General features: G+C 44.1%; 1 protein-coding gene across 2 annotated transcripts in view, besides 1 other annotated feature; it reads right to left on the bottom strand.

Moving 5' to 3' along the window:
* Positions 1-24,669, bottom strand: part of CLCN4 (chloride voltage-gated channel 4) — an 80,686-nt gene that overhangs the window by 23,477 nt on the left and 32,540 nt on the right. For both annotated transcript variants that reach the window (NM_001830.4, NM_001256944.2), the window contains 7 exons: positions 19,086-19,273; positions 16,123-16,245; positions 7,620-7,826; positions 7,408-7,488; positions 5,594-6,139; positions 1,531-1,717; positions 105-503 (listed from right to left, as the gene is read on the bottom strand). In NM_001830.4, coding sequence (NP_001821.2) covers positions 105-503; positions 1,531-1,717; positions 5,594-6,139; positions 7,408-7,488; positions 7,620-7,826; positions 16,123-16,245; positions 19,086-19,273 — 1,731 coding nt within the window. The remainder of the gene's footprint in view (positions 1-104; positions 504-1,530; positions 1,718-5,593; positions 6,140-7,407; positions 7,489-7,619; positions 7,827-16,122; positions 16,246-19,085; positions 19,274-24,669) is intronic.
* Positions 24,304-24,433: a silencer, noted in NCBI's record as "silent region_20656". NCBI's record gives its function as "represses an Ori minimal core promoter by ATAC-STARR-seq in GM12878 lymphoblastoid cells {active_cell/tissue: GM12878}" and the evidence as "EXISTENCE:reporter gene assay evidence [ECO:0000049][PMID:35858748]".

The raw sequence follows: 24,669 nt of genomic DNA, 5'->3' as shown, positions 1-24,669 counted from the left end.
CCCTGGCTTAATGCACATCACCTCAAAAATCTTGGATAATGTTAGGGGTACAAAGGATGCCATTCGGCTCTTGGTAAAATGTGAGCTTCCCTCTCTTTACTCACTTATTGCGAGAATCAGTTCCCTCCTCTGGGCAAATCCAATGAGGCGCTCGGAGTCTCTGGAGACCACCACGGGGAAGCCGTTGTAGTCGGTCTCCTTGATGAGCGTCTCCACGTCCTCGACAGTCATGCTGTCCTGGGTGAGCACCGACAGTGGCGGCTCTCCCCGCCGGGGCCGCATGACGTCGGTGGCCAGTGTGCGGTGAGTAAACTCGTCCTTCACGTCAAGGAAAGGGTACCCATTTAAGTGGATGTGGGCCTCGTAGATGCCTTCTTTCCCAAATGCATCAGCTACCCACTTGCTGGTCACAGCCGCCGCCATCAGGGGCACGATGTACTCCAGACCCCCGGTTAATTCAAACATGATGACCACCAATGACACCGTCATCCTGGTAACTCCACCTGCAACAGAGGGGAGGAGTAAGATTCCAAAGTGCAAGCCGGGCAGCTCACGGAAGCATGATTTGGGGAAAATGACAGACAGGCTGTAAATTCCCCTCACACCTGTTCCAAGCAGACTCTCCTACATGCTTCCTACACTGGGCCTCTGGAACCCAGGCCAGGCCCTGTCAAATGTGGCTTTGCGTTGGGGAGCCTGAAGTTGCATCTCACTGGGGCCTCTGCTCCAATGACGGATCCCGGGTTGTCTATTCACCGTGGCCCACACAAGCTTTTTGGTGAGTGGATCCTACATGGGCTCTGCAAGCTTCTGACTAAGCAAGCATGGTGCTCTTCAAGAACCCCATAAACAGAATATCACAGAAATTCTTAAGGACTATAGACAGGGGACAGACCCACCTTTGTGCCCCTGAATGATTAGGTGGAGAAGCGCCTTCTGCTAAACCAAGATTTTTATTTACAGACAGTCCCTGACTTACGATGGTTTAACTTACAATTTTGCCACTTTCCGTGGTACAAAAGCAACAGGCATTCAGTAGAAACCATGCCTCAAGTACACAGGCAACCATCTGTTTCTCACTTCCAGTACAATATTCAATAAATTACAAGAGATATTCAACTTCATTATAAAATAGGCTTTGTGTTAGATGATTGTGCCCAGATGTAGGCAAATGTAAGTGTTCTGAACATGTTTAAGGTAGGCTAAGCTAAGCTACAACGTTTGGTAGGTTAGGTGTATTCAATGCATTTTCAACTTATAATATTTTCAGTTTATGATGCATTTATCAGGATGTTAACCCCATCATAAGTTGAGGGCATCTGTTTGTGTGTGTGTGTGTGTGTCTGCATAGTGAGCGAGACATAGCCTTGGTGCGTTAAGCCATTGTGATTTAGGGGTTTACTTGTTATAGCCACACAACCCAGCCTATCCTGAGTAAAGAAAATGTTCAAGTCCATGTCTTCCTTCTTGGCAGTCCTCTAAGCCAGATTAGTTCCCCGGTCCCCCTCCCTGCCCCACCCATGGTCGTACCGAGGCAGGCCGCAGCTCCCACCATTGCGTACAGCCCTGGCGTGACACAGTCTGCACCGGGTCTGCACCAGTTCCTGAAGATGATCCAGTCATGGTGATGGTAGGCCAGCTGCTCCACGCCAATTCCCACCATCCTGCCCGCTATCGCGCCCACAGCCATGCTGGGGATGAAGAGGCCCGACGGGATCTTGAGGAGACACAGAGAAAAGCAACATGAGGGAAAAAGACCAAGTCCCCGCTTCACGACCCCCAAGAAACACATTCCCCCTCGACGGGCTTGCATTTAGCTTCAGTCTTCAGAGGAGGTGCAACTCTGCAAAATAGGTCAGCTGGGGAAAGGTGGGACAAATAATTTGACCTGCCTAGTCAGTCATATCTACTGCAACTTAGAGAGGACGCAATTTTATACTTTGATTCCCTCTCCTTCAAAAGCTGGCTGGGTTTGCCTGCTGTGGATTAAAGAATGATAAGCCCCACTGCAAATAACATTCAAAGTGAGCATCTGTCAGTTGAGACACCACTTTCTCTCGCCCCTTGCCATGTCATTCAGAATGGCTTTTAAAATTAAATGTCAAGCCACAGCATGAAAATGGAAAAGAAGGGCCTGCGACTGCTCCCAGGTAAAATAAAGAAGCTAAGTCCATCATTGCAGCCACCCTGGATCTTCCAGAAAGCACTTCAATGGCTCCCTGCCCTCTCTAGTAGGTGGTAGCTGAATACCTGTCAGAGAGAGACGAGGGAGGCAATTCCCTCTTCCTAATGAAGTACATTTTCTAATAAGTATTCTGAATATTTTCAAGCCAGGATAGGGGCAGCAAAGAAATAGAATGTAAACTAAGAGATCTTGGTACCAGCGTGTTCTCTACCCTGCTGGATGAAGATACATTTTAGTTTATCTAATGACCACACATGTACTATAGAACAAGCCTGACTCCCTGTGTTCGCTGAAATGACACGTGACCGCTGACCATGGGCAGCAGCTGCAATGATGCCAGCCAGCCCCAGGTGGTTACCCATCTGAGGATGGAAGCAGAACTTTAACCTAATTCAAGTGAAGTTTGGATCCTTGGGTGTGATTTCTAGAGTCAGAATACTCCTTAGGAAATCATTCCTTTCTGAGCTTCCCCTTATTCTACATCATTTATATCCCTGTAACATCAAAGGAGACTTTTCTCAGCAAGCATCATAAAATGTTACCAGCATCTTCCTGAGACATGAAAACAAATCCCTTTGCTAGGAGATGACAGATCAGAGACAGCCAGCTGTTTAATAAGGCCTACTCATCCTTGTTCTTAAGGCCCAAATTCAGGTTTGTATTTGACCACTATGACACACTCAAGTAAACAACTTCTTAGAATTTTTTTCTTTTTTTTTTTTTTTTTTTTTTTGAGACGGAATCTCGCTCTGTCGCCCAGGCCCGTGTGCAGTGGCGTGATCTCAGCTCACTGCAGCCTCTGCCTCCTGCGTTCAAGTGATTCTTATGCCTCAGCCTCCCGAGTAGCTGGGACCACAGGCGTGTGTCACCACGCCCAGCTAATTTTTGTATTTTTAGAAGAAATGGGGTTTCACTATATTAGCCAGGCTGGTCTTGAACTCCTGACCTCAAGTGATCCACCCACCTTGGCCTCCCAAAGTGCTTGGATTACAGGCATGAGCCACCATGCCCGACCATTAAATTTAAAAAAAAAAAAAAAAAAGACAATTCAGGCTGGGTGTGATGGCTCACGCCTGTAATTCTAACGCTTTGGGAGGCCAAGGCAGGCGGATCACTTGAGCCCAGGAGTTCCAGACCAGCCTGGTCAACATGGCAAGACCCCATCTCTACAAAAAATACAAAAATCAGCTGGGCATGGTGGCACGTGTCTGTAGTCCCAGTGGGCTGAGGCAGGAGGATCACTTGAGCCCAGAAGGTCGAGGCTGCAGTGACCCATGATTGTGCCACTGCACTCCAGCCTGGACAACAGAGTGAGACCCTGTCTCCAAAAAAAAAAAAAAAAAAAAAAGACAATTCAGGCAGGGCACAATGGCGCATGTGTGTAATCCTAGCACTTTGGGAGGCCAAAGCAGGAGGATCACTGGAGCTCAGGGGTTTAAGACCAGCCTGGGAAACATAGGGAGCTTGGTCTCTATTTTATATTTTTAATAAAAATAAATAAAATTAAAAGACAATTCATAGAAATGCCACACAGAAAGCAATAGTAATGGAACACAAAAGGGGGCTCTGGGAGGTGGATAATGTTCTGCTTCTGGTCCTGGGTGCTGGTTACACAGGTGTGTGTGTGTGTTTTATGAAACTCCATCAAGCTGTACACTTCTCTATATGAACGATATACTCTAATAAAAGTTTCTTTAAGTAAGTAATGATAGCATTATTCATAATAGCCAAAAGGTGGAAACAACACAAATGTCCATCAAAGGATGAGTGGATAAACAAAATGTGGGATCTCCATAGAATGGAATACTATTCAGCCATAAAAATGAAGTAGTGACACATGCTACAATGTGAATGAACCTTGAAAACATTGCACTAAACGAAAAAAGCCAGTCACCAAAGGCCACATATTATATGATATCATTTATATGAAGTGTCCAAAATAGGCGAATCTAGAGACAGATTAGTGGTTGCCGGGGCTGCAGGAGGGAAAAATGGGGAATGACTGTTAATGGAGATGGGATTTCCGTTTGGGGGATGAAAATGTTCTAAAGCTAAATACAGGTGTTAATTGCACAATATTGTGAATGTATGTAATGCCACTGAACTGTATACTTTAAAATGATCATTTATGTTTTATGGGTTTTACCTCATTTCAAAAAAAAAAAAAAAGCTATAATAACAAAATCCCAGGTTCCATAAAAGAAAGTTCTTTAGGAGGGGCTTTTAAAGTATTTTAACATAATGATTTTAACAAATGATTTTAACACAATGAAAGAGGAAACCAGCTGTCTCTTCTCTGGCTTTAGGAACAAGAGTAATGAAGGCATGTGCTGTTGGGTGTGGTGTGGTGGCTCATGCCTATGATCCCAGCACTTTGGGAGGCTGAGGCAGGAGGATCACTGGAGCCTGGGAGTTTGGGACCAGCCAGGGCAACACAGCAAGAGCCTCATCTGTACAAAAAATTTTTTTAAATCACCAAGTGTGGTGGTTCACGCCTATGATCCCAGCTACTTGGGAGGCTGAGATGGGAGGATCATTTGAGCCCAGGAGGTTGAGGCTGCAGTGAGCTGTGATCATGCCACTGTATTCCAGCCTGGGAACAAGACGAAAGGAAGGGAAGGGGGAAAGGGGAAAGGGGGAAGAGGAAAGGGAAAAGGGAAAAGGGAAGGGAAGGGGAGGGAAGAGAAGGGAAGGAAGGGAAGGAAGGGAGGGAGGGAGGGAGGGAGGGAGGAGGAAAAGAAAGCATGTGCTGTCATCCACAGCTCTGTTCTTCAAAGAGGATGTGTGCAAAGAGCCCCTGTCATGCCCAGCCCTACCCAGACGGGGGACACACTCACTCTGTGCTCCCGTCATACCAGCGTGGTGCTCATCACAATGTCAGAACTCCAGGTCTGCATCTCTTTCTCCCAGAGCTGTGTGCTCTGCAAGGGCAGCTTTCTGTTTGGGTTCTGTATCCCTCAGACTTAGCACGATGCCTAAGATACAGCTGATACTCAATGCATGTTTAATGAGCCAAACTGAGCCAAACCTGGGCTTTTTCCACCACCTGGCATCACCTGGCCAGCGGCAGGAAACCTGTGGTCACCACCACCTGTTCTGGGAATGTGTGAAGTGGGTTTGATGCCTAGCTCTGTCTCCCATAAGCTGTGGGTCTGATCAAGCCACTTAAGATCTCAGAGCCTTAGTTTCCTCAGTTGTAAAATGGGATTAAAATCTCTATTTCATAAGCTTATTGTTTATTAGAAGTTATTTCCTATTGATTAAAGGAATGTCAAGTGCCTGGCACATGAGAACATTCAAGAAAGGCCAGTTCCCCTTTTTTTCCCACCGCAATTTTATTTTAGAGAGTAGGGTGCTGTCCCCAGAAGGACATGGGTCCCCACCCCATCTTCCTTCCCTTTCACTTACCTTCATGCCAAAGGTAAATATGGTAACGACGATTTTGAAGATCAGTGCCAGGGCCAGCTGCCACATGGCCGTGTAAACACCGACACCAGCCGGCCGGTCTGGAATGTCATCCACAGGCCGAGTCATGTTGGGGTCATTGATGTAGTCACAGAGCTGGGAAGACTCAAGGGCTCCACAGTCATTGAACAGCTCAGAAATGAGCTCGCTGGTGCTCTGGCGTGTGTAGGGATTGGGGTAGGCAATGATGGCAGTGATGGCAGTCACCACAATGACCTCCAGCACCGGGTACTTCCCCAGCCTGGTGGTCTTGCGCCTCCTGCACCAGGCGATGTTGCAGCGGATGAAGAGGGTTCCCCACAAGCCCCCGAAGACCCCAAGCAGGATGAAGGGGAAGAGTTCAGCCATGTACCAGGGCGTGTGGTATTCCACATAAAAGAGAACGAGACGGCTATTCCCAAAGGGATTGATGGATCTCAGCGTAAAGGCCGCCACCAGGGCTGCGAAAAATGACCTCCACAAGGTCTTCAGGGGAAAGTAGTAACTGACCTGAGATGAAAAAGTGGAAAATTAAAGACTGGCCGGAGAAAGAGCTGCTCAGAGCCAAGCCCTCTGGTTGGCAGGAAAGTCACACTCTAAGTCCAAGAGTGGACACACTCATTCCATGAGCCTGGACTTAATGTGACCAAAACGCATCAGCAAAGATACCTGGAGGAATCTAACTATGTCTAGAAGTGGAATGGACACTAATCAAGGTGGGTTTGGGCTATATTTTTAAGAGAAAAGTATTTAATCATAATTCTGTTCATGGCACAGAGACTCCCCTAGAAGCAAATAAACCTCTGGATTGGATTCTACAGAAAACAGAGTAGATCAGGGTTTGGAAAACTCTGGGCTGCAAGTCACGTGCAGCCCAGTGAATGCATTTGTATGGCACATGAGTTAAGAATGGTTTTTACATTTTTAATTGATTGAAAAAGGTGAAAAAATCTTTTGATTTGAAATATTCAAAAGAAGAACAATATTTTGTGACATGTGAAAACCATAAAATTCAAATTTCAGTGCCCATAAGGAAACATCTATGGAAATGCAGACATGCCCATTTGTGTACGTATTGTTCACAGCTGCTTTCATGCTATGACAGCAGAGCTGAGCAGCTACAACAGAAATTGCATGGCCCACAAAACCAAAAACATTTACTACCTGGCCTTTTACAGAAACGTTTGCCAACCCCTGGAATAACCCGTTTGGGTTACCAAAATCAAAAATGCTTAATTAAGTTGGTTATGAGAGGGAGAATACTGTAAATCTTTTTAAAAAATCACCTTGGCAATTTTTGAAACAATACTTGAAAACAGGAATTTATCGCTGGTGGCCGGGTATTGTGGCTCACGCCTGTAATCCCAGTACTTTGGGAGGCCGAGGCAGGTGGATCACCTGAGGTCAGGAGTTCAAGACCAGCCTGACCAATATGGTGAAACCCCCATCTCTACTAAAAACACAAAAATGAGCCAGGCGTGGTGGCGTGCACCTATAGTCCCAGCTACTCAGGAGGCTGGGACAGGAGAATTGCTTCAACCCGGGAAGCGGAGGTTGTAGTGAGCCAAGATTGCGCCATTGCACTGCAGCCTGGGTGACAGAGTGAGACTCAGTCTCAAAAAAAACAAAAACAAAAACAAAAACAAAACAAAAAAAAAACAGTGGAAATTGTGGCTCCTTAATTAACTGCCGGAATCTTATCCAATACTTCTTTGATTCTAACCCTCAACGGGCCTTGCTGCTCAAAATCACGAATTCCCTCAGCTGCCCATTCTCACCTCTTCTAGACTGAAAAGCACGCCTCCAATTGGTGCACCAAAGGCAACAGAGACTCCAGCAGCCGCTGCAGCTGAAAGCACCTACAAAACAAATAGTTCTACATAAGCTTCAAGGCCTTCCATGAAAACAAACGTGCAAACCTGCAAGTCAGACAGCAGGAGGGGGCTTTGAGAAGAAAGTTTCGCTGCAGATGGAAGCTGAGCTGGCTCACCTCCCGCCTCTTGCCCTCATTCTTGCTGTACTTGGAGAAAAGGCTGCTGAAGAAGTTGCCACAGCAACAAGCCACGTGCACTAGCGGCCCTTCCTTCCCAAGGCTCAGACCGGAGGACACTACCAGCACCAGCGTGACTGTCTTGATTAGCAGGGTCCACTTCCCCAAGTAGCCCCTGATGATAAAGCCGCTCAAAATGGTCTTTATCTGAAACAGAGGATGGAGAACAAGAGGGAATGAACTCCTTCAATCCATGGCTAGGAAAAGAGCTATAATTCCTCTGAGAGACACGTTCAAAGTTTAGATTCACTCAATAGCATGGAACAGAAACCATTTTCATTTTTGATTTAACTATAATTTTATATTAACTGAAATATTAAAAACTCAATGCATGGTAAATCGTAAGGAGTCCTAGAGTACCAAAAGATCCTAAAGAGGACTGAATAAATCATTAACAAGGTCTCACTTGATTTATGGCATTTTATCCTGTTCACATTACCTTTTGTTATGTTGAGAAGAGACATGTACCTATTGATGTTAACTGTTAACTTTTGACTCTGAAATATATCCTAGATTAAGAGATGGAGAGCTGGCTGACTATGTGACAAGGCAAGGAGAGTGAAGTAGTTAAGAATATGCTACCCCAGGCTGGGCACAGTGGCTCACACCTGTAATCCCAGCACTTTGGGAGGCCGAGGTGGGAGGATCGCTTGAGCCCAGGAGTTCAAAACCAGCCTGGGCAACATAGAGAGACCCCATCTCTGCAAAGAAAAAAAAAAAGAAATTAAAATTAGCTTGGCATGATGACATGCACCTGTGGTCCTAGCTACTTGGGAGGCTGAGGTAGGAGAATCACTTGAGCCCGGAAGGTCAAGGCTGCAGTGAGCCGTGATCGTGCCACTACACTGTAGCCTGGGTGACAGAGCAAGATCCTGTTTCAAAAAAAAAAAAAAAAAAGGAATATGCCACCCCAAAATATGCCACTCTGGCAAACTGACTATTTTGGGTTAAAGGCTCTTGAAAAACAGCAGGTACAAGAACAAGAACATCACCTGACCATTCTGTTTCTTTTTCTTTTTTTTTTTTTTTTTTGAGATGGAGTCTTGCACTGTTGCCCAGGCTGGAGTGCAGTGGTGCGGTCTCGGCTCACTGCAAGCTCTGCCTCCTGGGTTCACGCCATTCTCCTGCCTCAGCCTCCTGAGTAGCTGGGACTACAGTCACCCGCCATCATGCCCGGCTAATTTTTTGTACTTTTAGTAGAGATGGGGTTTCACCCTGTTAGCCAGGATGGACTCCATCTCCTGATCTTGTGATCCGCCCGCCTTGGCCTCCCAAAGTGCTGGGATTACAGGCATGAGCCACCGCAACTGGCCCATTTTGTTTCTTAAAAGCTGGAGATGAAATTCCCATGTGAAAGATGCCCTTCCGATACTAGAAGGAAGCATCATTCTTATCATCAAAGACAGGAAGTTGAGGCTGAGGGAAATCTGCATGAACCAACCTTGTTAGACTAACCCTCATCCTCCTGGCCACTTCACCCAGCTAACCCCCCAGCCCAGGCTCCTCTGCCTCGTCACACTTTCATAGATTACTACTCGTCCAATTCAGCACATAAGTATTCAACCCTAACTTCATCTTTGGGTCTTCACTCCTTATGAAGGCTCCCATGTCATGTAAAATTCATTAAATAAACATGTATGCTTTTCTCCTGTTGATCTGTCTTATATGTCAATTTAATTCGCAGGCCCAGCCGCAAACCCCTAAAAAGGTGTTTGCCCCTACAAGAGCAAAATGACAGTTGAACTTTAGGTCAGGGGTTGACAAACTACAGACTGTGGTCCAAATCTGGCCCACTACCTATTTTTGTATGACCCACGAGCCAAGTGTAGTTTTAACATTTTTAAAAGTAGTATGTAAAAAAAAAAAAAAAAAAAAAAAAAAAAAAAAAAAAGACTACTAGCTTTCTGGTGAGAATAGTTGCTCCATCTTGCCCATTGGCCTCCAAGGCCTAATATATTGACTCTCTTTCTTTTATAGGAAAAGTTTGCCAACCCCTGCTGGAGGCAATGAATTAATGAATTTTTACTGTCCAATTCTTTCAACTTTTCTGTATGTTTGAAAATATTCTTAATACAACAGTAGAAAATGAAGAAGACGCTCAACATTCCAATGATATATGTTTGGGGGATGTAAAGATGTTTGAATCCATCATGACCCCTTCTCTTCTATCAAATCCTACCCTCTTTTATTGTAAAGGACTTTGACTATAGGGAGTGTTATCTTGCTCCATTTCCAGACCTGCTGCATTTTATAAATACCAAATAATGGCTTTCTTCCTAAACGTTCACTTGAGTCTTTGCCTAATGCTTTTAGAATTCAACTGGGTGCCTATCACAGTGATTAACTTCATACACCAAGGGCCTCTCCCCTGCCAAAATGGTATTCTCTTAGATATAGAAGCATCATCAATGATCAAACAACTTTTCTACCTCCAACCCGTCCCCCAATTGGCTGAAATGGACTGAATGTTTACTGCCGGGTTAGCAACTTACAAGCCTGTAATCACAGATTAATTAGACACCAAGTGAATCAGTCAATGAAATCTGTGGTCAATTTCTGGTTTTCCCATTATGTAATACATAATGGGACAAGGTTATCTCTTGTCAGTGTTATTTATGTAACTTCAAAACACCTCCTTGTGGGCATTGCTCTGCCAAGTAATCAGTTTCTCAAATAGCTACTACAGTCGTTCTCAACCGTGGCACTCATCAGAGTCACCTGGGGAATTAGAAAACACTGCTGGCTGGCTCTCACCCCAGAGATTTGATATAATTGGTCTGAGGTGCATCCAGGGTATGAGGATTTTTACAGCCTCTGTAGGTGACTCGAAAATGCAGCCCAGGTGGAGAGCACTGCTTGATTCCTGAAAAGAGCAGCACAGAGATTCCTTATTTCTCAATACAGTATTTAAGGGAGAGCCGTGAAACACTCTTTGTTCTTTCACCAGGTCCTTCTACTGAGCATCATGTCACCTTGGGCGATTTGGGGAGGGTCATGAAGTGAGCTCATCCAAGAGTGTGTATGTTCCTGAAGGACTCAGTGAGCTCCTTCCTACAGAACATGTGCAAGGTCTCCTAGCTATACAGTCAGATGGTGTTTCCTGAACTAGCCTTGAACTCGTGGCAGACAAACTAGTGGTGGTTAGACCCGTCCTTAACTAGTGGTAGTTAGCTTAATTGAGCCCGTGCTCTGGGATCTCAGATCCCTTTATTTAAGGGATGTTTTATTACGCCTGCCACAATTCTGCCCTTTTGTGTTGCCTCAAATAAAATTATCTATAATTTTTTGTCAGTTAGTTAATGTGGATTTGGACCCAAGGGTATAGTTTAAAAGCGTAATACCATTTAGAAAATTACAAGCATCTAAATTACCTGAGCCTTTGCCAGCCATGACATGTGGTGAATTGAACAATGTAATAGGTATTTTGTAATTCTCTAACATGATTTTATAAAATTCTCATGATCAAATTAGGGACTAAATAAGACAAATTCATTCCCAGTAGATGGCAAAATCCAATCACTTGCTTTAATTTGAATTCATAGAGACTGAAGCGAGCAGGGCTTTAACGAGATGTACTGCAGCGGATTTGTGACTTGCTGGTGTTAACCTGAAAACCAGAACTCTTTCCGATAAATAAATATTTGTAAGAGTGTTTATGTTTTATGTTTTTTAATAAACTGAAACATCAACACAGAGTAAGTTCTGAGAGGGTATGATTTCTCATATAGTTGACACGACAGTGGTTCTACTGACAAAAGGAAGCAAGTAGAAAGAGGACACCCTTACCCAGTTCTCTCTCAAGTCCCACGTGCAACAAAAGCTGAGTATTCACTCTTTTTTTTTTTTTTTTTTTTTTTTTTTTTTTTGAGGCAGGGTCTGGCTCTGTCACCCAGGCTGGAGTACAGTGGCACAATCACAGCTCACTGCAGTCTCAATTTCCTGGGCTCAAGTGATCCTCTCACCTCAGTCCCCAGAGTAGCTGGGACTACAGGAGTGCACCACCAAACCTGGCTATTTTTATTTTTTTTTTATGAGACAGAATCTTGCTCTGTCACCCAGACTGGAGTGCAGTGGTGTGATCTCAGCTCACTGCAACCTCTATCTCCCAGGTTCAAGCGATTCTCGTGCCTCAACCTCCCAAGTAGCTGGGATTACTGGCACGTGCCACCACGCCGGCTAATTTTTGTATTTTTAGTAGAGACGGGGTTTTGCCATGTTGGCCAGGCTGGTCTCAAATTTCTGGCCTCAAGTGATCCACCCAGCTCAGCCTCCCAAAGTGCTGGGATTACAGGTGTGAGCCACCACACTCTGCCGCTTATTTTCATTTTTTTGTAGAGATGAGGTCTCACTACATTGCCCAGGCTGGTCTTGAACTCCTGGGCTCAAGCAATCTTCCCACCTTGGCCTCTGAAAGTGCTGGGATTACAGGCAAGCATTCACCTTTAAATGTGCTTTATAGAACTTTTATAGAGAGCATTTATTACATAAAATAAAAAAAACCTTCTTTAAATTTGCTTCTTTTTTCTGTTTTAGAAACAAGGTCTTGCTCTGTTGTCCGGGCTGGAGTGCAGTGGTGCAATCATAGCTTACTGCAGCCTCGAACTCCTGGCCTCAAGCAATCCTCCCACCTCAGCCTCCTAAGTAGCTGGGATTACAGGCATGAGCCCCCGTACCTGACCTAAATTTGCATTTTAAAAAATGTTTCCAAAGGAATTTTTCACTCTAAGTAATCAAAATGTTTTAGAAACAAATGCTAGGGAGGATGAGCAATTTTTTAAATATACATAAGTGCATCACAGTCAAAGTTCATTCTTACACAGTGTGCCATATAGCAGCTTATGGCAGATCACCTCAGACAATGATAAACATGTTTTCCAAATAGTTCAGTCAATATCTTTGCTAGAATGAATGAAGAACAGCTTCATGTCTCAACTGAAGTCAGTTTCCATATTTAGTTGGGTGCTGACTGGGAGGAGATTCTTTTTACCCATGATTTATTTATTTATATTTACTTTTTACTCTGACCCTCTCCTCCAAGAACTGGGAAAAATACTGTATCCTTATGTTAAGAATTTCCAGCTCTACTATAGTAACATGAAGACTTTGCTACTGCTGGGTCAAACCTCCATTTGGTTCCTGAAAGTTCTTTAAAAGATTGTTATGAACTATTTAGGAAATAGAGAAATGAATCCATCACGCACTTATATAGAGTTAAAAGAATACTAATAAAAGCGAGTACCCATGTGCCCACTACCAAGTTTAAGAAACAGAAGAGTGGCTACCTCGTGTTTGCCTCCCCAGTCGAACCTTCCTCCTTCCCCTCACCACTTCCTACCATTTCTTCCCCTTTCTCTATAGTTTTAGCACATACGTTTTTTCATTTTAGCTGTTTATAGACGTTCTATCAATCATACTTTCTCCTTGTAAAACTTGCTTTTTCACTTAACATCACATTTTTTAATTTCATCCATGTCTATGTATCCCTTGCACTTTTGTCACATAAGAAACAAATGCTCAGCTAGGTACAGTGGCTCACACCTGTAATCCCAGCACTTTGGGAGGCCAAGGCAGGCGAATCACTTAAGCCCAGGAGTTAGAGACCAGTCTGGGCAACATGGTGAAAGCCCACCTTTACAAAAAGTACAAAAATTAGCCAGGTATGATGATGCACACCTATAGTCTCAGCTACTCAGGAGGCTGAGGCAGGAGGACTGCCTGAAACTGGGAGTTCAAAGCTGCAGTGAGCTGTGATCATGCCACTGCACTCCAGCCTGGGCAACAGAGTGAGACCTTGTCAAAAAAAGAAAAGAAAAGAAACAAATCCTCAACTCAGTATTTTACTCCTTCTGAGTTCAGCTATCACCAATAAAATGCCCAATTTAGATGATGACAAAGTCCAGCCAGCCCTTCAAAGATAGAACTGATATTCGAACTCCCTGTCTATAAGGACACCAGCTGAGCCACACATCTACAGTTCTTGGAAGGGAGAGATGGGACTACCCAGTGTGCCTCTTACTGCTTCTATTTTCCACCAATTCCCCATCGGCCATCTCCTTATTTGCAAAATGCTTGAGTCAAAAATGCCTACTGTTGGGCAGTGGGATCACAAACTGAGATGTTTTAGACATCAAATAAAATACAGTCAGCTCTGCTACGACACTTGGTTGGAAAATGCAAATTTGCCTCAAGCACTGTGGCTCACTCCTGTAATCCTAGCACTTTGGGAGGCCAAGGCGGGAGGATTGCTTGAGCCCAGGATTTCAAGACCAGCCTGGGCAACATGGCAAAAACCTACAAAAAAATACAAAAATTAGTTGGGCATGGTGGCACGTGCCTGCAGTCCCAGCTCCACAGGAGGCTGAGGCGGGAGGATCACTTGAGCCCAGGAATTTGAGACCAGCCCGGGCAATAGAGTGAGACCTCGTCTCTATATAAAACAATAAAAAAACAAGAAGGCCAGGCGTGGCGGCTCACGCCTGTAATCCCAACACTTTAGGAGGCCGAGGCGGATGGATCACATGAGGCTAGGCCAACATGGTGAAACCCCGTCTCTACTTAAAAATAAAACCAAAAAAAAAATTAGCCAGGCATGGTGGTACACATCCGCAACCCCAGCTACTTGGGGGGCTGAGGCATGAGAATCGCTTGAACCTGGGAAACGGAGGTTGCACTGAGCCGAGATTGTGCCACTGCACTCCAGCCTGGGCAACAGAGCGAGACTCTGTCTCAAAAAAGAAAAAAAAGAAAGAAAGAAAAAGAAAAGGAAAAAGAAAAAAAGAAAATGCAAATTTGTTCCAATGCCACTCATGTTAGGGAGGAATTTGAGCATAACTCAAATTTTATGTCTATTTATGCGCATTTCCTCCAGGAGAAATACCAGGTAAATGCAGAAAATTGCACCCAGTCATGTAGGAAAACACAAAATACACGAGTCAAACATCTACCGGTTCACACATATGCCAGGGTGCCACACCCATCTACGCCTGCTGTCTCAACTTCCCCTACAACTTCAGATAACCTTCCTTATGCCCTTCACAGCAACGCGTAAGTTGCAGCCCTTGCGACACCCACTTCCACAAGCAAACTTCAAGTTCTTTGCAGGAAGTGACATATTTATTGTGGTATTTACATATTTCTTAGCCACTTAATGTGTACAGCTGTGCTCCTGTTTTTACTAGGTTCCTCTTTTTGTCATATGTGTCAGTGATGAAGTTTTGTGTATTGTGCCCCTAATTCATGTTCCCCATAAAGCCCTGTGGTTTCTGTTGTGTGATTTTGCATGGCATGGTGATTTTTAGGAATGCGTATGTTGCATTATAGCAGAACTGGCTGCGCTGAGAAAACAGGTTGGTAATACAGCTTATTTTTCAGGTTCCTGAAGCAATATGTTAACATCAACCATCAAAAATTCAGCATGACATATTAAGACTTCTTTTTTCTATCTTTCCTGAAACAAGACCATGTTGAATTTTGCCTCTGATTGTCTTTTCATGACTTCAGCCCTTTCTGCAAACTGCCTGGACCACCATCAGGGCTGCAGGGTCCTCCCAAAGGGTGTGGATTTACTGCCATACTCAGCCCACAACTACATCTTCAAACTCTCTAGCCCACTGCCTGTGTGCATCGCTAAGGCATCAACCCAAAGGAGAACTGAACTGCATGGATTACAGTGATAATACCAGAACTTTTAAAATTACTTCTGGCTAAAATTTCCACCATCTGGGCTTTTCGGGAATCAGCTCAATTATCATGATTCTGCCCAGTAGGTCCTCATAGGTTTCAAGTTTGGTCTCAGGCACTCCTCTTAATCGGTGAGGTCACTTCCCTCATGCTTCGGTTACATGAAAGTGCTGAAAACTATTTATAAGAACTCGAAATTCACGGGGGTACGTTCACAGTACATGTATTAAAGGCAGAATTCAGGTTTTTAAAAGATTGCTATTAGCTTGCCACCAGAAGAGCAAAACATGGCAAGAGAGATTTCATCATCAGTGAACTTTCACAGCAACAAACCTCCACTATCGTCTCTCACATTACATCACAGATGCACTGATGAGTTATTACAGCGTGTTTATGTGTGTGGTTAATGAACTCTGATTCCACAGGCTTTAAGAGTTATGCCTGGTTTACAAAGACAAGGCTTTTATCATCTGAGAAGCAATAGCACAGAAATCTTGAAGACAGTGTGTAAATCCTGAAGTCAGAACACTGGGTTCAACTCACAGCTTACCAGCTTGGTTACCTGGGGCAAGTCACTTAACCTCTCTGTGCTTTAGTTTCGTCAACTATCAAATGCAGAATAATAGTACCTACGTCATAGTCTTATTGAGAAACTTAATGAGTTAGTAGAAGTAAAACGCTTGGAACTGTGCTTGGCATGACAGTGCTACAGAAGAATTTGCTATTCTTATTATTGGTACCAAAAAAATCAGCCAGAACTCACCTCTGGTATGCCAGAGCCACAGGCATATGGTGCAAATACACGCACCAGGGAGACAGCCAAAAATGCAAACAGCAGCGCCCATAGGATGTACATTAAGTAATTCAGAATGTAAGCACTGGCACCCTAGACAACAGACACAAAACACAAAAGGAAACATTAGCCACAGCTGACCTGAGCAACAGACTCAACCCCTCCCCATCTGTCTTGACAACAAAAGCTTTGACGGGATTGGGCAGGTTTGGTCCCAGTCCTGTATAAACCAAAAGGCCAGCGTAGGTTTATCAGCTGTTGCTATTGCTACAGTCAGTACACACAAACAGAGCAGCGGGTGTTTCTCTGGGAGCTGTTTACACGCGCCTTCTACACAGGGAAGGCTCAGCAGTAATGGAAACCGTGGATGATGCTTGGTTTTAATCACCACTTGCATAGAGTTAATCAAAGGTGTGATGCAGAAAATCCTGCCTCCGAGACCCTGGCAGATTAGTTTTGTCTTGTCTGTGGTGGCTTGGTCTCTCTTAGCTTTCATTAAGGCCACGCCCAAGCACAGCAAGCACCCGCACTGCCAATGAATACGGGTCGGGCCTGTATTTTAGAATACTGCTGCTCAGGGTGGGGTCCATGGTCCAGCCACATCAGTGGCTTATGAGACATGCAGACTCTCAGGCCTCACCCGAGAACTGCTGAACCAGACACCAGACACTCCCGGCTGGGGCCCAGGTCAATATGTTTTAACAAGCCCTCCAGGAGGTTCTATGCGCACTAACATTTGAGAGGCACTATCAGAGAAGAAAAACGTGATCACTTTCAGAATAATTCATTGAACCATTTATTCCAAATTATCTGATGTATGGAGAAGGTTTTCTGAACCAAAAACACAGTCTGGGGTCCTATGCGTGAAAGGCCTGGTCTGCTGGGTACAGACCACACTCTCTAGACCTCAGCTTCTTGCCACCATCTGGATTACTTAAGTAAAGGGGGCAGAAAAGAGAGGTCACCTACAAGTCAGGCCATGGACAGCCACATGTGTGCCTATTAAATGCAAAAACACGTTCCAGGAGACTGCTCTGGCCTTTACAAGCACATATATTCACACCCTATGCGGTGAGAAATCGGACTAAGAAATACCTTTCACCCACTTAAATATGTACTTTTTTGGAGGCTAAAAATAACTCTCACTCTTACTAAAGGTAATTCTTCGAATCAAAGTATAAATCTTAAAAACAGCTGAAAAGATGGATGGCTGTATTTCCCCAAAACACACATTGCAAGTAGGAGAGAAGAATAAAAATATGGCGCACAGCCAATTCTGTCTGCCCGCTCCCATCAACCCAAGTAGAGAATTTCTTTTTGGAAGTAATGGAGAGCACTGAGAACATGTGAGATTTCAAGATCCCTGTCTCCTTCTGAGATTTGAAGGAATTAATTTTCAATTCCACTGAGAAAGAGGTTTAGCAAAAATGGCAAAGTGCATTCCAAATGTCTTCAGCTGTGGTAAGTCAGTCAGGCAAAAAAAAAAAAAAAAAGTGGGGAAGGGAGGAGATGTATAAATAGATTACATATACCTTGAAAGATTAGTTCTAGCTTGAGAGATCCTCACATTACCCCTAATGTGAAGCTTGACAACCTGGTTCCTCCTCACGTGGCTTTCTGATCCTTTAATAACTCATAGTCATGGTGGTAACCACTGAAATGGGTTAGAAGTTAACTCTTTCCTGAACTAAGATTTTAATAAAGATCTGAAGCTCTAAATGCTATAGGTCTGTGGTTCACCACTATTATCTCCTGTGCCTAGGGCATTCTCTTTATAGAAGGCCCAGAACATCCTCTATAATGTGGTCATAAAATGCAATGGAAGATGACTGAAAGCACAATGAGATGCCACTTCATAACCACTAGGATGGCTATAATCAAAAACAGATAATAACAAGTGCTGACAGGAAGGTGGACAAATTGGAAGTCTCATACACTGCTGGTGGGAATGTAAAATGGTACAGCTACTTTGGAAAACAGTCTGACAGCTGCTCAAAAGGTTAAACATAGAGTAACCATCTGACCCAGCAACTCCATTCCCAGATATATACTTGAGAGAAATGAAACATATGTCTTCACAAAAACCTGTACAGAAATGTTCATAGCAACATCATTCATCATAGCCAAAAAGCAAAAGCAACCAACAAATGGATAAATAAAATGTGGTCCATTCATACAATAGAATATTATTCGGCCATAAAAAAATGAAGTAATGGTTCATGCTACAATAGGAAGAAGTCTGGAAACATGATGCTAGGTGGAAGAAGCCAGACACAAAGTCCACACATTGTATGATTTCATTTACATGAAACATCCAGAAGAGGCAAATCTAGAGAGACAAAAGGTAGATTAGTGGTTGCTCAGAGCTGGCAGGTTGGGGGACATGGGAGTGACTGCTAATGGAGACAGAGTTTTGGAAAGGATGACGAAAATGTTCTAAAATTAGATTGTGGTAACGGCTGCAAAACTGAATATACTACAAGCATTAAATCGTACACTTTAAACGGGTGAACAATGTGAACTGTGAATTTATCTCACTAAAGCTGTTTTTTTTAAAGGATAACTTAAAAAGTTATGTTCTTCTCAATTAGAAGATATCAAAGTCAACCTTGTTTCTTCAGCATGATCAGCAAACCACCTTCGGTAAGAAAAAATAAAGCCAAATATAACAAGATAAAGCCAAATATGAGGCTTAAAGTGTATATATATATATATATGCATTGTGCACATGAAACAGTGGGGAAGGGTTTTGCAAGTGAAGTTTGAGTGGTAGCATTAGAGCTGGAAAAAGCCCGTCATCTAGTGTTAAGCCACGAACTTCAGAGCAGGCACTTGAAGGTGAAATCACAGACATTCACAAATCTCCCAGCAGCATTCCCAAGCACGCATGGAACGGCAGGGGTCCCCAGCCAGGACCCTGCCCAAATACCCACCTCTGACTGATTCACCAGCAGCTCCGACCATTTCTGCCACAGGGGACACTTGTCTCTGTCCTCAAAAGTGGTCTCGTTAGAAGTCCAGCAACACTGCTCATGGCTATACCAGAAGGCAGACAGGCAGACCCCCTCCTTCAGGTCCGTCATCCAGTCCACGGCGAGATCGATGACCCCAGCCAAGGTGCCTGGAAGAAGTAACACGAGCCACTAAGAGGAATCGCCCCATGATGCGACAAGAATGAGACCAACACGGCGGCCAGACAGGGGCACATCAGCAATGATGGCCCAGATTCCAGAGCAGGCAATAAACTTGCAATGGGGCTGTCACTTACATAGGAAGCTTCTTTCATTAAACTTGCAGCACTTGAACATTTATGTTATGGGCAAGGCAGCACAAGCCCAATGAGAAATACAAAGGGTTCAGTAGCTTGAACTGGGTAGGAGAGACAAGCAACTTTTGCAATTTTTCCCTTTCCAAGTTTTTGACATTGGGTATTTATAGTGTAAAAGACAGAACTCTCTCAATGGCTTCTGGGGCAGGATCCTAGAATCACACACATTAATATTTCTCAGGGAAACATGATAATTCAGACAAAATGGACTCATAACAACTACGACGGCCTCACATCATAAATGAGTAAGGTTTTGCCACCAAATGAGAACCAAATTCGGGAAGATCCTGTTTATTAAAACTCTCTGCATTATTTAAATTATAAAGAATTATGGGTCTATAAAACTAAATAAGTATTTTAAAAGCCAATAGAAATGGGAGAAAACGGAATGTGCAGTTGAATGGATCACAAAAGGCGGCCTTGGGTCTCTTTCCAGAATAATGCATTCTCATCTCTCACAAAGGCAGAGAATGCTTTCAAGCATCTTCATTTTTCAGCCTTTTCACTGCATCATTATTACAGGATCGGTTCTGCATCCACATCCTCACCAAAAGCATCCACACCTGGCATCAGCACTCACCCCTCCCTTCTCTTCTCCTGGTGTTGCATCGGACACCGCCCACCTCAGCTCTACATCTCCTTCCTCCATGGGGCCTCGTTCTTCCCATTCCCCTTTCCTTCTCCTGTATCTTCAACCTCTTCCTCTCCTTGCCATCAGCATTTAAACATTAAAAAAAAAAAACCCTCCCTGTTTCCACTTTCCCTCTAGTCACCATCCAATCTCTTTCCTTCCCTTGGCCCAGTCCATCCCCTCAATCTACCAGGAGATTCCCATGCAGCTAAGGCAATGGCCTTAGCTCATTCCTCTAGAACAGGATCCACAAACTACAGCCCATGGGCCAAATCTGGCCCACAGCCTGTTTTTGTAAATAAAGTTTTATTGGAGCACAGCTACACCATTCAATTACATGCACTCTGTGGCTGCCTTCATGCTACAGTGGCAGAACTGAAGAGCTGAGATAGAAACCACATGGGCCACAAACCTGAAAATATTTACTCTCTGGCCTCTTGCAGAAAAAGTTTGCTGACCCCAGTTCCAGAGCTCTCAGCATCATCTGACTCTGTTGACCACTCCACCCTTCCAGAAACACCTCTTCCCGTGGCTTCCACATCATGCTCTCCTGCTTTCCTCCTCACTCTCTGGTTTGCTCTGACTCCTCTGATCTTTCTGACTCCTCCACCCAACTTCTAAAGGCCATTTCCTCAAAGCTTGACCCTAAACCCTTTTCTCTTTTTATACTATGCTCTCAACCCTGGCAACCTTATTCATATCCTACTATTTACCATTAGGTATAAATGTACATCTCAAGCTATGCTTTTCCAAGCACATAGAGCCCACTGGCTATTACAGAGCCAATCACTACATAGCCCAGCCGTCAGCTTCCGATGCCCACAGCAGACATCACCAATCAATAATAGCACACTCTATTGGATTCCCCTTCACAATTCTTTTGACATGCCCATGACAGACATCACTAATCAATCATGACACACACTTGTGGACCTACCCTCCCAAATCTTTGTAGCAAAGCCCCAGGCAGTCAAAGCCAATGAATGGGCATTGTCAAAGAACACAAGTCTATTTGCCTTCTTGGGTCTACTAGATATCTCCACTTCAGTCCACCACCATCCGACACCGAACTAAAGCATCCTCCTCCCAGCCTCAGCTTCGTCCCAACTGGGAGAGGAACCCACCATCCAGGCACACTACTGTGCAAACTAGAAATCTGGGAAAGCAACCCCCTTCCAGGCAATCCCCATATCCCAGCAGCTCCACCTCTGAAATCTCTCTTGAATCACTGCAGTTTCCCCCATCCCCACTCGGGCTGTCTTTCAGATCACCGTGTTGAAGTCATTGCTGGCTGGACTGCTGCAGGAGCTTCCTCTCTGGTCTCCAGCCTCAGTCCTGCCCCATTCATGGCCTCTCCACACTGTGGTCAAATAGGCTTTCCAAATGCCAGACTGACCTGTGCCACTCCCCTGTGGAAAGCCCTGCCATGGTTACCCATTATTCTTGGGAGAACACCCAAATCCTCAACAGGTCACCCACCCTGACAGCTGGCCCCTCAGATCTCTCCAGCTTCATCTCTTTCCCTCACTAACTCCCCACACCCTGCCCACTCCATGTTCCTGGAATGTGCCACGCTCTCCTACCTGCACCATCTCAGCAAGCACTGCCCTCCCCTCCCATCAGACTCCTACTTATCATCCAGATTCCAGCATTTATATCACCTCCTCTGGGAAGTCTTTCCTGATTTCCTAAGCCTGGGTTAGGTGTACTTCCCTGGCATTCCTGTGGCTGCCTGTCCTTCCCCATCACCACACCTCTCGCATCCTAATATCACAATTAGCTCTCTTTCTCTTTTTCTCCGTGTGTGTGTGTGTGTGTGTGTGTGTGTACTTCCACTAGTCTATAAGTGGTGGGTAAAAAAGGTTTCATTGTTTGGTTTTCATACCACAGTGGGGGGTCAGGCCTGGCATCCAGACCCTGTGTCCACTCTAAGTGGGCAAGGACCCTATCTGTCTTGTCCATTGTTATATCCATGTCAGGTGCATGGTTGGCACTATATATCCATGTTGAATAAAATATTGCAATAAATAAATGAATGAAAAAATCAGAAAACTCAGGTCCATTCATTCATTCAAGGGATAGTTACTGAACATGTACCTACTACACGGCAGTTACTCATCCATGTCTTGGGAATACAGCAGTGCAAAGAGTAGACCCAGGCCCCTGCCTTTGTGTAACTGTACCTGGGACAGGAGAAAATAAGTATATTAAAGGCTCTGTTAAAAAGTATAAGGGCCAGGCGCAGTGGCTTATGCCAGTAGTCCCAGCACTTTGGAAGGCCGAGGTGGACAAATCGTTTGAGGCCAGGAGTTCAGGACTAGCCTGAACAGCATGACAAGATCCTGTCTCTACAAAAAAAAAAAAAAAAAAAAAAAAAAAATTAACCAGATATGGTGGCACGCGCCTATAGTCCCAGCTACTCAGGAGGCTGAGGCAGGCAGATTGCTCAAGCCCAGTCTGTAACGAACCATGATCGCGCCAGAACCAGACCCTGTCTCAAAAAAACCAATTCTATTCCTAGGCATATACCCAAGAGAAATGAAAACATCCATGCACACAAACACTTGAACAAAAATGTTCATAGCAGCATTCTTCAAAATAGTCACAAAGTAGAAAGAACTCAAATATCCATCAATGGATAAGTGGATAAACAACGTGTGGTCTATCCATACAATGGAATTGTACTTGGTAGTGAAAAGGAATGAAGTACTGACACGTGCTACAACATGGACAAACTTTGAACATATTATGCTGAGTAGAATAAGTTAATCACAAAGACCACATATTGTATGATTCCATTTATATGAAATGCCCAGAATAGGCAAATCCATAGAGACAGAAAGCAGGTTAACAGTGGCCTAGGGCTGGAAGGGGGATGGTTGGGGAGCAGGGGCTTGATAGCTACAGGGTATAATGATTCTTTTGGGCATGATAAAATTATTCTAAAATCGACCACGGTGATGGTTGTACAACTCTGTGATACATTAAAAACCACTGAATTGTATACTTTAAATGGGTGAATTATATGGAATGTGAGTTATATTTCAATAAAGCTTTACATACATACATATATACATCCATAGAGCAGGTGAGGGAGGTGAGGCTTACAGAGAGAGGGATGTAATTTTATTGTTTTTTAAATTTTAAATATCAGACAGGTTTGAAATTTTTAAACATGCAATTCAATAATGAAAGACTTGATTCCAAATATACAAATATATATAATTAGTCTAATTAAGTTAGAGATATCATTAGCTATTTCCTGATTTATTCTTTCATTTTAAAATGGACACATAAGATTGTATGTTGTAATCATATACAACATGATGTTTTGAAGTACATATACCTTGTGGAATGGTGAAAACTATTTCCTGATTTAAAGTTGGAAACTGAAACCCAGTGAAAAGAAATCCTACATGCTCAAAGTATTTTCTCTAGATCATGAAATCCTGGATGCAAGCTTGGTTCCGCTTAATGCTAGTTTGCAGAGTCAGCTAAGTAAACACTGCCCCCTAGCAACAGCACGCAAGAACCATAATATTTAGTATTTCATGAGGTCTTTCCACAGGGTCCGGTAATGTCAAATTTAGAACTATCCACAGTTCTTTGTTTTTCCACAGGAAAAACAAAGGCAAAGAGCTCATTATCTTGATTTTTTAACTTTTTAAAACTGACACATAATAATTGTGTATATCAATGTCATGTTTTGATCTATGTATACATTATAGAAAGACTTGATCGAGCTAATTAAAGATCCGATCATGCCGTTATTTTAATGGCAAAAACCACAATTACCTTCGCACCAACCGAATCACCTCCCCAGTTTATTTTTGTGGTGAGATTATTAAAGTCTACTCTTTTAGCAATTTTGAAATATACAATACATGATCATTAATTGTGGTCACCATGCAGTGCGACCGCTCACTAAAGCTTATTCCTCCAGTCTAACTGAAACTTACGCCCTCTGATCAACATCTCTTTCCCCATCCTGTCCCCACCCCTCCCTCTAGCAGCCACCTTTCTACTCTGTTTCTATGACACTGGTTTTATTTTTTTGGACTCCACAGATAAGTGACATCGTGCAGTATTTGAAGAAGAAGGTGAAGAAGATGGGAGGGTCCTGCAGATATCCAGGGGCAAACAGGATGATCACCCCAAGTTTCATCATTATTCATTCATTCACAACCCCCCTACTGCACACCCAATCTTCCTTGCTGATTCTGGTTCTGACTGCGCTTCAGCAGGCCTCAGCTTTCTTTCGTGGTCCAACAGTGACACCTAGCGGTGACTTCTGATAAGCACATGCGGAGATGCTGTGGGCCTACCCATGAGGGGAGTCCGAAGACAACAGCCACTGAGGGGACAGCCGGCCAGGCAGTGAGACCCCAGGTCCTCTCCACTGTTAGTCCAGCGAGGAAGGGGGAAGTGAGTGGGACGTGGCTCTCTGGCTGTCCCTTCAAAGTGCATCCAAATCAAAAGAACACTGTAGTCCCTTCATTTTCAGCATCACCCCATTCTCACCCTCCCATGTATTCCCCTGCTGACGTGCGCATGGGCT

The sequence above is a fragment of the Homo sapiens genome, chromosome X, assembly GCF_000001405.40.
Source record: "Homo sapiens chromosome X, GRCh38.p14 Primary Assembly".
Taxonomy (NCBI): Eukaryota; Metazoa; Chordata; class Mammalia; order Primates; family Hominidae; genus Homo; species Homo sapiens.
Note: the sequence above shows the minus strand (reverse complement) of the source record. Positions and strands in the feature narration are given on the sequence as shown.